The following is a 15,979-nucleotide window of genomic DNA, read 5'->3' as shown; positions in this document are numbered from 1 at the left end:
AAATGAGGAATGAAGATCAGCTTAGGTGCTGAGAATTTTTATCCATCAAGACCTGGGGTGCTGGACACAGGGTAGAACTTTTGAAGCATTCACTGAAAGCCAAACAGTAGTCAAGAAAAGTTAAGACATAAGAAGACCCCTGTCTTCTACGCAGGAATGGGGAGGTCCTCTCCCTGCAGCTCAGCTTCTGGGCCATCAAAACATGAAGAAACAAGATGGTTGGTGGTTTTGTGTTGTAAACATTCAGCTCCAACACACACCTCAGTTCGTTAAGCGGTGAGGCGGGGAGGATGATCCATTTTGACTCATGCTGCCGAGGTGGCGGAAATCCTCCTGAAGACAGCAGGAGGGATGCAGTGAGACCAAATTACCCACGCATCTGTGGAAATGGGTGGGGAGAGAAAGTGATTCATGTCAGGACTAAGATAGCCTGATTCGTGTCTTTATGAACTCCAAGTGGTCCAGAGTCCATTTTCCAAAGTCATCATGAAAGAGGAAGTTTATTTTAGTAAATAGAAAGTAAAACATGTTGGAGCTGCACACACAGATGAGACTCAGGTGAGGAAGGTGCTGGGACTCCATGCCCAGGAGAAGTGAGGGGGCTGCCAGCGCAGCCAGTGGGCTCGGTGCCCAGAGACCTACTTGATCACACACCTCAGAGGGCTCACTTGATCACACACCTCAGCGGGACTCATGTGCATAGCAAAAAGAGAAAGGGGGTGACAAAATTCGGGGGACTTTGGCCTTTGGCCTTTGTTACATTTCTTTTTTTTTTTTTAGACAGACTCTCACTCTGTTGCCCAAGGGAGTGCAGTAGCACAACCTCACCTCACTGCAACCTCCATCTCCCCAGTTCAAGCCTCAACCTCCCGAGTAGCTGGGACTACGGGCGCACACCACCATGCCCGGCTAATTTCTGGATTTTTAGTAGAGATGGGGTTTCGCCATGTTGGTCAGGCTGGCGTTGAACTCCTGATCTCAGGTGATTCGCCTGCCTCACCCTCCCAAAGTGCTGGGATTATAAGCATGAGGCACTGTGCCCAGCCCTTTGTTATATTTTTAAAAATTAATTCAATTACTGAGGTGTTTTTTTTCCCACATAAAAAAGGGCAAAAGTTATCCATTTTTCTGACTGCTTTACTCCTATTATATGGTTTCCAGATCTGAGATTGTAGGAGGTTTTATACAACCCCTCACAGATAAAAATTGATATGAGATCCATTTTGGTGTGGAGTGTCAATGCTGAAGCATCTAGCTTGGACTGGACCCATGGTGGGGAGGTTTGGGTGCCCCGAAGGCTGCCTGCCCTGGCTGTTTGCTGGAAAGTCTGTATGATCACCCACCTTCTCTTGAGCAATAGAGAGAACCTCCTAGTTCTCCACCCCCACCCCAAAACTGTCTCAGCAGCCTGGTCTCAGGAAAGCCCCAAGCCTGAGTTGTTGAACTTGCTCTCACAGTGTTCGATCGGTTTGAGGAAAATAACTGTCATGTCCTTAGCATTGCCTCTGCTGAAAACCCAAGGGGACTGTGACCATGTGGCAGTGATATAGAAAGAGCACTGCATGTAGAGTTAAAAGACCGAGGGTGTAGTCCCAGCTTTGCAGCTGATGCTTGATGTGTCCATGGGCAGGTCGCTTGTCCCCAGTCTCCTGCTTGTAAGATGAGGAAGTTGAGCAAAATCTCCAGGGTCCCTCCTCCCTATGAGATTCTTCGAGTCTATGAAGTCCAGACTCTCTGGTAATGTGCCAGGAAGAACTTAGAACCTTTCTTATGACAGGAGCCAGGGCTGCTCAGTCCCCTCCTTGGCCACATGTGTCCAGGTGACAGAGAACACCCATGAGTGTGACAACACAGGTTCTCAGGGAAGGAGGAATCTTCCGGCTTTCTCTCCTGCGTTTCCCAAATCCTCTCCCTTTTGAATAAACATGTTGAGATGGTGACCTAAAACCCCATGTCATGTAGTATTAGGTTATTGAAACCCCTCCTTGTGTCTCGCTCTCCATGTCAGAAGCATTGGATTGGAACTGACTTGAAGGAGACAGAGCAGTAACTCCCACGCCTTCCTCCAACAGAACTATTTTAAAACCTTTTGCAGAGAATCCACTCCATGGTTCAGACCTCTGTGAAAAAGTTCTCTACTTGTCCCTCATTTAATGTTTGCCAGCCCTCAATGTTGAGCTGGCCAGAGGATTAGGACACATTTTAAATATTATTTAATAATTGGATAATATATGTACCTGGTACAAAATTCAAAAGATACAAAAGAATATTCAAGGTAAAGCAAATCTCTCTCCCAGCCCATACTCCAGCCATCTCTTCCCTAGAGGCATCCACGTTCTGCAGGTTGTTATGTAGCTGTTCAAGATATTCCATGCATATGTAAGACTTTGTGTCTATATTCCTATTTTTTTCTTTTCACTAATGGCAGCACAGTACTCACGGCTACACACTTCCTTTTTTCTTTTAAAGCTGTATTTGAGAGCTCTTCCATTTTAGTACATGTAGATCTGCCTCATTCTCCTTTAATGTCTGGGTAGTATTCAATTATATAGACGATCATAATTTGTTTAACCCTTCTTCTGTTAATGGACCTTTAGATGTTTTCCAAAATGTTGTTAAACAAACGATGCTGCAATGAATATCCTTGTACACGCAACATTGTCTTACCATGTGCTACCTGACAGTGTGAGTTTTATTTTCCTGTGTAAATGTTTATCTTCTCAGTTAGTTTGTAACTGCTTACAGAACAGGCACAGACATTCAAAAACAAAACACAGTATTATGCACATAGTATGGCTTTCATAAAATATTGGGTGAATGAATTAAAGCTCCTCAATCATGCCAGTGGTATGGAGAAGCAAATGGTATTTCAAAGGTTAAATGAATTGCCTAAATCAGAGAACCAGACAATCAAAGGAAACACCAATAAAATAAAATAAAACTGATAAAAATAAAAGCAGATATTTAGAATATACTTCCCAAAAGTTGAATATTTTTCCGACATTTACATTCACACTTAGAAGAGATAACTCCATTGGCTAGCCCAGCAAGGAGAGTAAACAGTCCTCTGGAAAAATCGGTCACTTTGGGGGGCAGGCAGATGGCTCCAGCTATTGGAATGCCATTTATTAAGTGTTGACTTCAGTTCACAAAACAGTGGCCCAGTGACCTGGAAAAGTTAAGCATCACCAAGAGGGCCTCCACTGGTCGGGAGGGTGACAGTTCCTCCCATGAGGGGATCTAGTGCAGTTCAAAGGAAGATGAAAATGGAAAAGGAAGAGAAGAAGGGAAAAAAACACTCTGACCACACAACAGCTCTGGAATCAATCAGGAAAAAGGGAGAATGAGTAGATGACTTTAATTGTCCTGCATCAGCTGTCACCAATGATACAGGAAGAGAATGCCCTTTGTTAAAAAACAAGGAGGGTGTTGTTATCATGATGTTTAATGAACACTCATTATAACCTGGTACTACAAAATGTGTGGTCTGATTGGTTGATCTCAAAACAATTATGTCGACATCTCATAACTTAAAGATCATACAGCTTTGTAATTTCGCAACGCATTACTTCTTAAAAACAAGAATAGTTTTTTTCCCATATGCATACGTGTTCTATTAATCTTTATAACCTTTCCAAGATTTCTAAGACCCTTACTTAGAGTGACTCTAGGGTGACACCAGTGTATTCACAGGTGGTATATTTCCTTTGCCCTCAAGGGGAAGGGGAGGGGAAGAGCGTTGGATTGCTTGTTTTCTTTCTCTCTTTCTCTCTTTACTCTTTAGTGACCTGCAGGAGCAGACCCATTTAGTCTAGAGAGAATATCCCAGTTCACCCTTCTACCCACTCCTTAACCAGTAAAAGCCTTGTCATCAGGTTTATGGGCTGGAAAACAACAAGCCAACTCCACAGCAGCAGGGAATGGGAAGTGTGGATGCCACACGGCACTGAAATAAGAGAGTAATTTGAGGAGCATAATTATCCAAGGTGGCAGTTTGATGAGGGGATGGAGGTTGACACTCCTAAGCTTGAGTCAAGTGCCCTGGAATCTGAGTGGCTGTTGAAATGGTCCACATTTCAAGTTCCTGCCTCACGCCAAAGTGCTGGCAGTTCCCTCATAACAAGGCCCACCTGAGCACCTGCAGGCCTGACCCACAGGGCAGAGGGCCTCGTGCTGAGTCACTGAAACCTCCCAAAGTTCTGAGCCAAGAGCTACAAGGCAACACTCCCGTTTCCCTTCGCCACCACGACCAAAACACCATGCTGGGCAGAGGTTAGAAGAGAGAGCCACCACCAAATGTTTCAACAATATTTTTAATGTTCATACAGCTTTATTAAAATGAGCAATAAGCTTTACATTCCTTGGTTTGTAGAAATGGACTCAAGAGGTCATTTGGGTTAACTGCTACATTTAACAGATGTGGAAACACGCAGGGAGGTTACATGTCTTGCTAAAGTCACCCAGGCAGCCAAACCAGGATTAAACTCAGGTCTCTTGATCACCTGTCCCACCAGTATCCCCCAGAGTATCTTGCTTGTTCCATTTCATGACACTGATGCTCCCCTTACCCGCCTCCCCAGTATTGCTATGGTTCTGGGAATGCACTCTTTTGATATAAAATAATGGCTAGCCTGAAATGGTTTTGTGCATCCTCATGAGATGCTAGGATGGTTGAATGCAAAGCCTAAGACATCTCAGCAGAGAGTGTTTTATACAATGTTAAAAAAAAAAAAAACTTAGAGTTTTTTTGGTTTGTGATCTCATCCAGAAACTCATGTTTCTGAAGATGTACCTGAAAATGATACTGTAGTTCTATTGCAAGGAACAGACAATCTACTCCTAAACTCTCATTGATTGGTTGAATGATATTTTTTTGAGACAGAGTCATGCTCTGTTACCCAGGCTGGAGTGCAGTGGTGTGATCTCAGCTCATTGCAACCTCTGTCTCTGGGGTTCAGGTGATTCTCCTGCCTCCGTCTCTTGAGTAGCTGGGACTACGGGTGTGCACCACCATGCCCAGCTAATTTTTGTATTTTTAGTAGAGACGGGGTTTTGTCATGTTGGCCAGGCAGGTCTCGAACTCCTGACCTCAAGTGATCTGCCCACCTCAGCCTCCCAAAGTGTTGGGATTATAGGCGTGAGCCACTGTGCCCAGCCCTCACTGATTTATAATAACTCGTATTTTCATTGTGGGGCATAGTCATGTTCAACAATGATTTTTGTTGTTGAAACTCCGTTCTGGCAATGCTCTTGGGGGCTAGTACAAATATAATAAGTAGAATGTGAGTTTTCTATTAGATATCGGAACTCAAATATTGTCAGTATACACTGCTGTTACTTAAATAACCTTATTAAACCAAAGGTGAATATATGTGAAGGATCCCCAAACACTCATCAAATTAAATGCTACAAAATAAAGGCTGGGTATTAGTATTTCTAATTCAGTGATCCATCTTAGCAGATATTAATAGAACCAATTTATTTAAAAGAGACCAATAACATTAATCAGATTGTACATTGCTCTCTCCTTCATGAAGCAAGTATTTCTTTGAGGTCAAGGTCCTGGTCATATTTGGACCTGGCCTTCAGGCCCAGCTTGGCCCATGTTTGAAGTATAATAGGCAGGTAATAAATGTTCATAGAATGAATGAATGAATCAGTAAAAATGCAGGACTTACCTTTCATGAATACAATGGAAAACCTACAACTTGAGAACAAAAAATGTTAAAAATCTCAGGATTCATGTATTGACTCAACCTATTTGATGAAAGGGATTTAAAAGTAAGAGGGACAGTAGGAAGGATTTTGTAAGCACTTTTTTCTTGTAAGGAATGGGTCAAAAGAACACAAGACTATGGGAATTACGTTTCGTGAATCCTCCACAAACCTACCTTCATAGCTAGTACATAATAAGCTGTAGGTTGCAGAATAGGTTTAAAACCATATTTCTCTTTAAATATCTGTGTATTTTATGGCCTAAGGCTGCTCTGCTGAGGTGGAGTGAGTATTGACCACAGCATATGAAGGTCACAGTCCTCATCACAGTTCCTACGTGTGTGATGTCAAGCAAGTTCCTTAAAGATGTTAACTGTGGATTATTTTGTATGAGCACTGGGTTAAGGTTTTTTCCTGCATTATCTAATTTATTTGACCTCGCAGGGCCTCAGTTTTCTTGTATACGAAATGGAAATAATAAAGTTATCTCGGAGGGTATTTGTGAGGATAAAATGAGACAGTGACCAACAGACCATAGTAACTTATACAGCATAAATCAAATGAGAAGCATTATTTTCATAATTATTGCTGTATTACAGAAATAGCAAAAGCAGTATTTAATGTTCATTTTAACTTTCTGTTTCTTCTACTGGAACAATGAATTTTCAATGAACACTATAGAGAAAAAATAGACATGACTCACGAATCACATGTTCTTTGGAACCTCAATCTCTTGCGCTCTTCATTTATCTCATGAAGGAAATGAACCAAAGAAGGAAAAGTCAAGACAAGGGTGAGAGAAGACAAAAATTGCTTTAAGAAGAGCCCAGCTAATTTCCAGAAAGCTGCTTATTTGCAAATAGTATGGTCAAATTGTTCTATGTGTTTTAAAGGGCCTGTAAGATGACTGGAGTGTGATTTGTAGTCTATTCCTGTATTTTATCTCCCTAGCATTTCTATTCTCTTAGGAGTTTCAGAGTAAGAAGTACATTGTAAAAGCCTGGAAGCTTTGTTTTGGGCGGGACTATGATCTATTGAAAAGCAAACCAACTTCATTCTAGGCCTTGAAGCTTGACAGTGTCATTTACAGAGTGACACAGTCACGCTATAAATGACCAGAGACATTCCAGAGTTCATGACTGTTGTTTAACAACAACACTTCAAGGGTGGCTGCAGGCACGAGGCACAACACGCCCGCCCTAGTGCGGTGAATGTGGGGGAACCACTCCCCACTGGAATGTGGCATTGCTCAAAGGCAGCTGGGCCTTCCTCTCTATCCCCACCGACCTGGACAGACTGGAGGGACGACTCTATTTTCAGGGAATGACAAATTGATTGTGCTGATTGGGTGAGAGTACTTACCTGCCTCCTGCTCTGCTTCCAAGGACAACCTGCGGGGAAGGTTTGTTTTCAAGTGACTTGTATAAGGAAGCATTGCAGAGCAATGAGAACCCAAACACCTTGCTACCAAAGAGGACTTCAGCCAAGCCTTGACTAGACAATTCAGGTTGAGGAGCCTTCTATTCCCCATGTTCCTAAAGCCAACAAGTTACTGGAGGGGACATTCCATTCCACTGACAGAAAGAAGGAGACAAGATGGCAGCTCTAAATTACATGTGCAATAGCCCAGGAGGCTTGTAAACATTTAAGGAGTTGATTGTTATTTTCATTCCTGACTGGTTTGGTGGTGCAAATAACAACTCCATAAATTGCTGAAGCCCAGCCAGAGTGCTGAGGACATGCATTTGTGATCATGACCCATAGTGAGTGATGAATATTCATGGCAGAGTGAATCTGAACTGCTCCTGAAGCAGGTCAGCTGGTGTGTGAACTCAAAACAGGTCTTGGTATGGAAATCAAGTTTGTAGACTTAACCGAAGAAAAGTACTCATGGTTAACAGCACGATCAAGAAATGTCACTACCCAGGAGCTGAGGGGGAGGGGAGCAGGGAGCTGTTGTTCCATGGGTATACAGTTTCAGTTTTGCAAGATGAAAAAGCTCTAGAGATCTGTTGCACAATGTGCCTATAGCTAATACTACCATACACTATCTGCACAGTGATTCCGATGGTAAATGTAGGTTCTATCTTTTATCACAATAAAAAAGAGAATAGAATGTCTCTATAGCATCTACTCTAAAAGAGCTCAAACCGAATATATAGCTGTGTTCCTATTCCCTACTTCTGCTTCCAATCCACCTCCAGGTAATTTCTGTGCCAGGAAGGCAGGTAAAAGCTATTCTCAGGCCACACAGAGGTCACTGTGGCCACTCTTTGGGCTTTCCAGAAACTCGGAGCTCTTGAAGTAAATTGTTTTCTTTTGTTTAATGATCTGTTCCAAGCTTGTCCAACTTGTGACCCGCAGGCCACATGCAGCCCAGGATGGCTTTGAAGGTGCCCAACACAAATTCGTAAACTTTCTTAAAACATTATGATTTTTTTTTTTTGAGACAGAGTCTTGCTCTGTTGCCCAGGCTAGTGTGCAGTGGTGTGATCTCGGCTCACTGCAGACTCTGCCACCCGGGTTCAAGCGATTGTTCTGCCTCAGCCTCCCAAGTAGCTGCGATTACAGGCGCCTGCCACTGCGCCCGGCTAATTTTTGTATTTTTTAGTAGAGATGGGGTTTCACCATCTTGGCCAGGCTGGTCTTGAACTCCTGACATCATGATCCACCCACCTTGGCCCCCCAAAGTGCTGGGATTATAGGCATGAGCCACCACGCCCAGCCAACTTTATGAGATTTTTTTGCGACTATTTTTTAAGCGCGTCAGCTGTCGTTAGTGTTGGTGTATTTTATGTGTGGCCCAGGACAATTCTCCTCCTTCCCTTGTGGCCCAGGGTAGCCAAAAGATTGGAGACCCCTAGCTATTCCCTCAGCAACCCAACATAACCAGGGACATAGTGAATAACCAAAAAGATATACTTTGCCACTCTGAGGATTGGAAAGTCTAGCCGGGGTGGGTATATTGCCTGGGCCAGAAAGGCAAGCTTGATGACCTCTCCTCTCTTCTTCCCTCTCCACCCGGACCCCCTGCTGGCTCCCAACACCTTCTACCCCCATAGGCACCATCCAAAGGGACTTTCCCTCTCTAACCACCAGGGTCTCCAGTGGTGAGCAAAGATGATGACAAAAGACATGATGTGGTTTCTGCTAAGTTAGAAGCACAAGAAGAACTTTCAAACGGCCCTTAGAAGGGAGAAAAACCCAAGTGCGGAAGGAAGTCTGTCAACCTTCAGCTACAGACTTTACCCTGCCTTTTTTTTTTTTTAATCTTGCAGACGTACATGACTCTCTTTAGGAGAAGCCCGCCACGTGCCCAGTGGCCCTCAGCAGAACTCACAGAGAGAAGGGGTTGAAAGTCCCTACTAGCAAAGTTCATTTCCAGCCCATCACCTTGAAATGCTCACGTCTCCGATGTGAACAAGATTCAGATCTGAATTTAAGGGACGCTTCTCTCATTTCTAAGTTATATAGTTAGTTTTAGAAGATTCCTGTCTTCCTTCCTTTTCTTTCTTTTCAGCCAATCCTTTTAAGAGCACATAATTCTTCAGGCTATAGATGAGCTATAATATATTATGTTATTACCCTCCATTTGGAGGAAGGGTTGAAACAGCTGTAATCTATCTAAGATGGGCTGAATGGTTTGCTTTGGATAATGTAATTTTCAGTCTGGAATCCACGTGTAGGTCAAAACTAGAGGAGACAAAAATGACCAATTTGAAGCAATCAGACTATAAATCTTCCAGAGTTTCTGTTGGTTGCAAAAGCTGTTTAACAGGTGGGCATATTGAAAATTTTCAGATAATTCTTAGAGGAATTGTGCCTTGTGGGATTACATTGCCTTGGAACACAAAGGTAGACCTGACTGTTCTTTTTCAGCTTTCATCTCTGCCTCCAGGTACATTGGTTAACTATGCATGGGCAATATTTAAAACAAAGAACATACCTCCTTAAGCTCAGAAGCAACACAGGTTTTTTTGTGTGCACTTGAAGTAGAAAATATGTCCATTTATACATTTCCTTTCCTTTGCAGAAAACACAACCCTCCATGTCTTTAAAGTGGAATGAACTTTAAAGCCGGTTTATCCAAAATAGCATGTGAATTTTTGCAACTGCTCAATGCCCCCCTACCTGAGGATCACGGTGCTCTCTAGGTGCAGTTACCAGGACTCTGAGGCACACTCTGATGGGATAGGGTTAGTTCTGTGCCTCAGTTTCCTCTTTGGAACACTGTTGGCCTGAGGCTGCTGGAGAACTGCTGACGCCTGACACCCACCTTTCTGCTAAAGCACCGGAAATGTCACCTTACTCTGGCACTTCACAGGGGAACTGGCCACCCCCAGAGAGATGGAAACCTTTTAGTAAAGTGGGTATCTGGAATGAGCTCAGCTTTAGAGACAGGAACGGTTCTGTGGAGTTAGAAGTGAGATGGATTCAGAGTAATGGTAGGCCATAGTAAGCCATGATTCTCCAAGACTCCTTATCGCCTCCTTCCTTACTGAAATGTCTGCAGAACTAGTTAAGAGTCAAGCTCCTGACAAGGCAGAAGACAGTCATTTAATGCTGTAAGACTCTGCTGCTTTGGCAAGCTTGCCCTACACACAAACAATGCCAGTGGCTCACTTGGCCCCTGCCCAGCTCAGCAATAGGAGCATTGTCTAATCTGCCAGAGTCAGGAAGCCGGGATGTAGTTTCCAGTTCCAGCATGAACTTGTTAGGTGGCTTGGGCATATTCCTTGACTTTCCATACCTGAATTTTCTTATTTCTGGGATGGAGATACTCAAAGACCAATCTTTTCTACCTCTTTTATGAACAAACTCAAGGAGGAAAGCACGTTGCCTTAAACCTTCCCATCAGCACAAGGCCAGGGACCTCTTGTAGCAACAGCAAGAAAAGATACCAAGATCCGGCCGGGCACAGTGGCTCAGGCCTGTAATCCCAGCACTTTGGGAGGCCGAGGTAGGCGGATCACTAGATCAAGAGGTCGAGACCATCCTGGCCAACATGGTGAAACCCCGTCTCTACTAAAAATACAAAAATTAGCTGGAGGTGGTAGTGGGCGCCTGTAGTCCCAGCCACTCGAGAGGCTGAGGCAGGAGAATTGCTTGAACCCAGGAGGCGGGGTTTGCAGTGAGCCGATATCGTGCCACTGCATTCCAGCCTGGTGACAGAGTGAGATTCCATCTCAAAAAAAAAAAAAAAAAAGATACCAAGATCTGCATGGCCCTTTGAGGAAAACCTCAGCCGCCTTGGCCAGATGTACAGAACTATAGTCTTACCCTGGTTATTAAAAATGAAACAGATTTATCAAAATTGGACCTCGTTCTTTGATTATGCATCCAGCTGTGTGCATGAGTTAACTGCTTTCTGGGTCATCGGGGTCAAATGTTCCCTTGGCCTGGCTTCCCCAACCTTAGAACCCTGGAGGACCACCTGCCTGCCTGCATCTGTCACCGAGAAGAGGGTGTGCTCAGGGAGGGTGAATGCTTACCAATAAAGTGCCCAGGAAGCACTCCCACACAAATTACTGGGAATCTGTGGCCACCCATTTCCCGCCTCTTTTCCGTTGAAGCATATAACCAAAAGCTAGCTGCTTGGGGGCAGTTCTAATATAAAAGTGGGTTTTGCACTTGCAATGAGAAGGACAGCAAGCCTGCAGCTTTGGAAACAGCGTGTGCCATTTGGTACCAGCCATTCTTCATGAGGATTGACTTCTCTTACGGCAGGTGTCCGGCACTTCCACTATTCAGCCTCTTCCTGAAGGAGGAGGAAGTCGGTCACACTGGTGGAACTGGTCCACTTCCTAGGGCTCCCCGTGCTTCCCCAAGTATGCCAAGGGGTGGAGGGAAGCTTGCTATGGTTGGCGTCTCATTTGCTAAGCCTGAGCCCGGATGTGTTCCTAAGAAGGGCAATCTGTTGGCTCTCAGCACGGAAGAGACTTGTCCAACGGGCCATACCATGTCCCTGTGGGAACGCACCTCCAGGAATGACCAGGGGCACTGAGTGTGAAATCACACTGTCATTTTCAGGAAAAAGCAGGGGCAGGCAGAGGCTTCTCCTTCTCTCAGGTTTGCTTGCCTTCCCCTCGCCCTTACCCCTTGGTCTCTGTGTGTCCTCTGGAGGATATCACCTGCTTTGGAGTGTCAGCAGGCTAGAGAGATGACCAAGTCAGGTTTTTTGTGTTCAAGGCGGTAAAATGGCCCACATGCGACGGTGATGGAGGGTAATCACAATGAAACTGAACACTCAAGTAGAAAACGGTGTCCGCCCACAGGAACTGCAGTGTACCAACTGCTGCGATGTAGGTTAGTGTGGAGTTGCTGCTGGGGTCAGCCTCTGTCTTCCACGAGCTTGTGATTCAGTAATAACTGGAAGCACAATTGCTTTTTCACTCACTATTTTTCAACGGTTTATTCATAAAGCAATTTTTCACTTTTCACTTACTTTCAGCCCCTTTCACATCTATCTGCTCACAGTTTCTGTCTTGGCTTAACCTTTCCCTCTCTCCTCCCTCTCTCAGTTTAATTTTTCTTTATTCCCTTTTTTAAACTTTGAGCCGTTAAAACAGTATCAGGGCCTTGATTACTTTCTAACTGAAACGTTTCCTTTCAACGTCTTCTTAGGGTCTCTTGACTGGGTTCTCATTCTTTTCTTTAGCTGCCCATATTTTTGTCCCCCTTTCCTTTTTGTGGCAAGGGGCTTAAATCTTTCTCAGTCATCTTACATGTAGGCCTTTGCTTTAAAAAAAAAAAAAAAAGAAAAGAGAAAGAAGACGAAGAAAAAAAACAAAAACCCACTAAACATCCTAGAATTCATGGTACTTAAGCAGAAGTTTGATTTAAGCATAAGCCATTATGTCCATTAAAAGAATCTTGATTCCTTTCAGATGAGCATATTAATTCCTGGGGAAAGTTCATGGTTCTTACAAATTAGCAGGACCTTTGCAAGCCCACTCACTTTTGCCAAAAGAAGCCACAATAGTTGTTTCCATACAGACTTGCCCCTCATTTTCATTTTCTCCGACATCTGCTCTCTAAATTACAAATATCTGCCTATAGCAACAACCGGAGTTCCAAGGAAAACAAATCAAAAGGAAATAAGAGAAAACAGTGGAATCTGAGCATGTTAGGAGATGTAAGAACATCTTCCAAAGAACAGGAAGACAACCCAGGAAATGACTCCTTCCTTTTAAGGACCAGGAAACTGTGGCCCAGCGAGGTTCCCGGACTTTCTTGGGAGCACACGCTTAACCAGGGGCTGAATCAGGACTAGAACCAAGCTCCCTAAACTCCTGATATGCCGCTTTTTCCGTGATGGTAGGAGCTCATCAACTCAGTTCCCATCTTGGGTGTATTTTTAAACTCTGGCCCTGAGAGCCATGGAAGAAAGAGTAAGTGACCCCATTAATGATCCACAGTTGGTTGATCTCACAGCAAATCACTGTCAGGTCGCTTGTACTAAAAACTGGAGAGGCAAGATAGGGTTATGTGGAAGGGGACTGCGGTGTGTCTCATTTCCTTTGCCTGTGGATAGGAAACAGTACTCAAGGGAAATAGTGCTGATGAGTGGAGAGAACACAGAGATGGTCCCTTCTCTTCTTAAGTGATAACTGCGCTGAAAGGCTGCTAGCCTGGAGGTTGCTTTACAGAGTGCCACATGTAATGCAGGTGACAGTGGCACCATGCCTCATTTTCAATTTCAGACCCTTCCAGAAGCCCTGGGAATTCAAACATTGAATATCTCTTAAAATATTTTACAGAATATACAGCAAAATTAATTTCATGATATCATAGACTCTTCCTCAGAATCAGACGGGCTCTCCAGATCTGCCTAAATACACAGCATTTCCAAGGAAGCCTCAGGAACATTAAAGAACATGAAACACTAAAGACCTAGGAAAAGCTCACCAGAGCATCTTGTTCATCCTGTGCTTTCAAACACACGGATTCCTCTCTAAGCCCTGCAAGGATGGGGACTGCTCCCTCCCATGGGAAGGAATCCATTGTGTTACAAACCCTAAATGTAGGTGTTCGTCTTGGTGACTTAAACCAAAGTCCCCTCTGCAACGCTTTAATTTCATTTCCTTTGTTCTGCTCCTTACCCACAATGGGGAAGAGCTGGTTGCCATCATCCACAGGTGAATCCTTAAGACACCTGAAGTTGGGGAACTTTGCCACAATTCCATGAGAACCCCCTTTGTTAACATATTGAAGAATTTCTTACCAAGATTAGCCATTGCTATTTATCTGTCATTTCTCCTTTCTTTTATGACGGGGGTAGGGGAAAACCACAAGATGACTACATTCATGTTTATGCTGAATAAAACCTATCGAAAATTCAGAGAGAAGGAAAAGTGCACACAGCCAACCCTGGTTCATTACTTGTCAAACCTGGAAGGAAGAGCAAACTAGGAGAGGGTTTGTTAGTTTATAGTATGCTGTAAAACTGGGAAAGGGAGAGTGACTATTTGCATAAATTCAGTTAAAAATAACTTTTTGGAATCTTGCTGCATTTTTGCCTGAATTACACGATTAAGACTGTATTGAGATTAAAATCACTTTTCACTTATTTAAGGAGCAGCTGTCAGCAGCACTTTGAGCAAATGAACTTGGGTTCTGAGGACTTGAAGCTTGAAAAATGATGTTAGGGAAGCTTATCCACCAATCCTAAAACATTTCTTGTAGCCACTTCATACCCAGAAGTAGATTTGATGGCCACTGTTCATAATGATCTGATTTCTTCTGGCCAGAAGCTGAGAATGAAATGACATGTTATGGACAAAGAACTCCATGATCTCTGAAAGGAAACAGAAGTGCCTTCTGGACTGGTTCAATGATCACATTCTATCTAACTCTTCTGTTCATCAATTCTTTCAGCTGCTGCCTTCTGTGGTACAGCCTTCCTTTCTAGACCAGATTATCCTGGAGGCCTGGTTTTGCATTAGAAATTATCTGCCATGTGCCTCTAATTACTTTCATTCCTCTGTTCTGGCCTTTTCTCATTATCTCCTTTTAGAGAAGGCATCTCTCTCTCTCTCTCTCTCTCTCTCTCTCTCTCTCTCTCTCTCTCACACACACACACACACACACACACACACAGAGGAAGGAATGAGCTCATTTATACCAACTTACGGATCCTAAATTGATTTCATTTCCCCCAAGGAAAAAATATCTAGAAATGTGCCTATAGACTCCCACGGTGCTGTATATTCTATATATTGCCTCATGGTAGGGAATTAAATGCATCATTTCTGCACAGAGTTTTTATTTTGTTGAAGGTAAACTCAGAAAAAGGTGGCTTCTTCAGTCTTACTTTGTCCTACAAACAGCTGGATGAAGTCTTGATCCAACAGTATGGACTTTGGCTGGGTGGACTTGGGCTCATTAGTGAATATTATCTTTTTATGTAATGTTTCATTAAACAGCTAAGTCCATAAGTGTTCCCAAGATATATAACTCTCAAGAAAAAAAAAGAAAGAAATGATTTGCCAAGTAAAGAACTATGATTTATGGTAGTTAGCTGTTACTCTCAGGATCCTATTGGGCTTTGTTTTGAAAAATTATTACCACAATGGTTCTGTAGAATTTAGGAATATAACCAGCGCCGTTTGGCACGTTTATGACAATAGGGTTCTGGTTTTCTTAACTCCACAGTTACATGTTGGCAGAATTTCAAATTCTGGGCACAGATGTTTAAGTGAATTTAAAGAAGAAACATTAAAAACAAAGCATCAGGCAGTTTTGAGTGTCCAAATGTAAGCAGGAGCATTATTTTCTTAACATGCAGTCAGCATGCGCATAAAACCATAAATTTGCTAATAGATGAAATGGGAAGCATGAAAACCACTTGCAAAGGGCTTTTAGATTTTCTTTTCACTGAATGAACTATCACTTTTCTAGAAGCATCTCCTACTTACATCTATCAAATGAGACTCGAATTTATGTGAGCCTTTTCTCTGGACACAGGTTAGTTTCTGGAGCGTGAATGGCTAAGCACATAGACTTGTTCCCATCACATAGGGCCACATGGCCATACCACCAAGATACCTGGCTCTCACACTAACAACGCTCAGATTCTGGGAAAGCAGCTTTCTGGAAACTTTTTAAATGCACAAGTAGGCTAGGTGCGGTGGCTCATGCATGTAATACCAGCACTTCGGGAGGCCAAAGCAGGAGGATTGCTTGAGTCTAGGAGTTGGAGACCAGTCTGGGCAACATAGTGAGACTGTCTCTACCAAAAACAAACAAAATTAGCTGGGCCTGG

This window comes from Homo sapiens, chromosome 6 (genome assembly GCF_000001405.40).
Source record: "Homo sapiens chromosome 6, GRCh38.p14 Primary Assembly".
In the NCBI taxonomy this organism is placed as follows: Eukaryota; Metazoa; Chordata; class Mammalia; order Primates; family Hominidae; genus Homo; species Homo sapiens.
The sequence above is the reverse complement of the archived record's forward strand: the minus strand, read 5'-3'. Positions refer to the sequence as shown.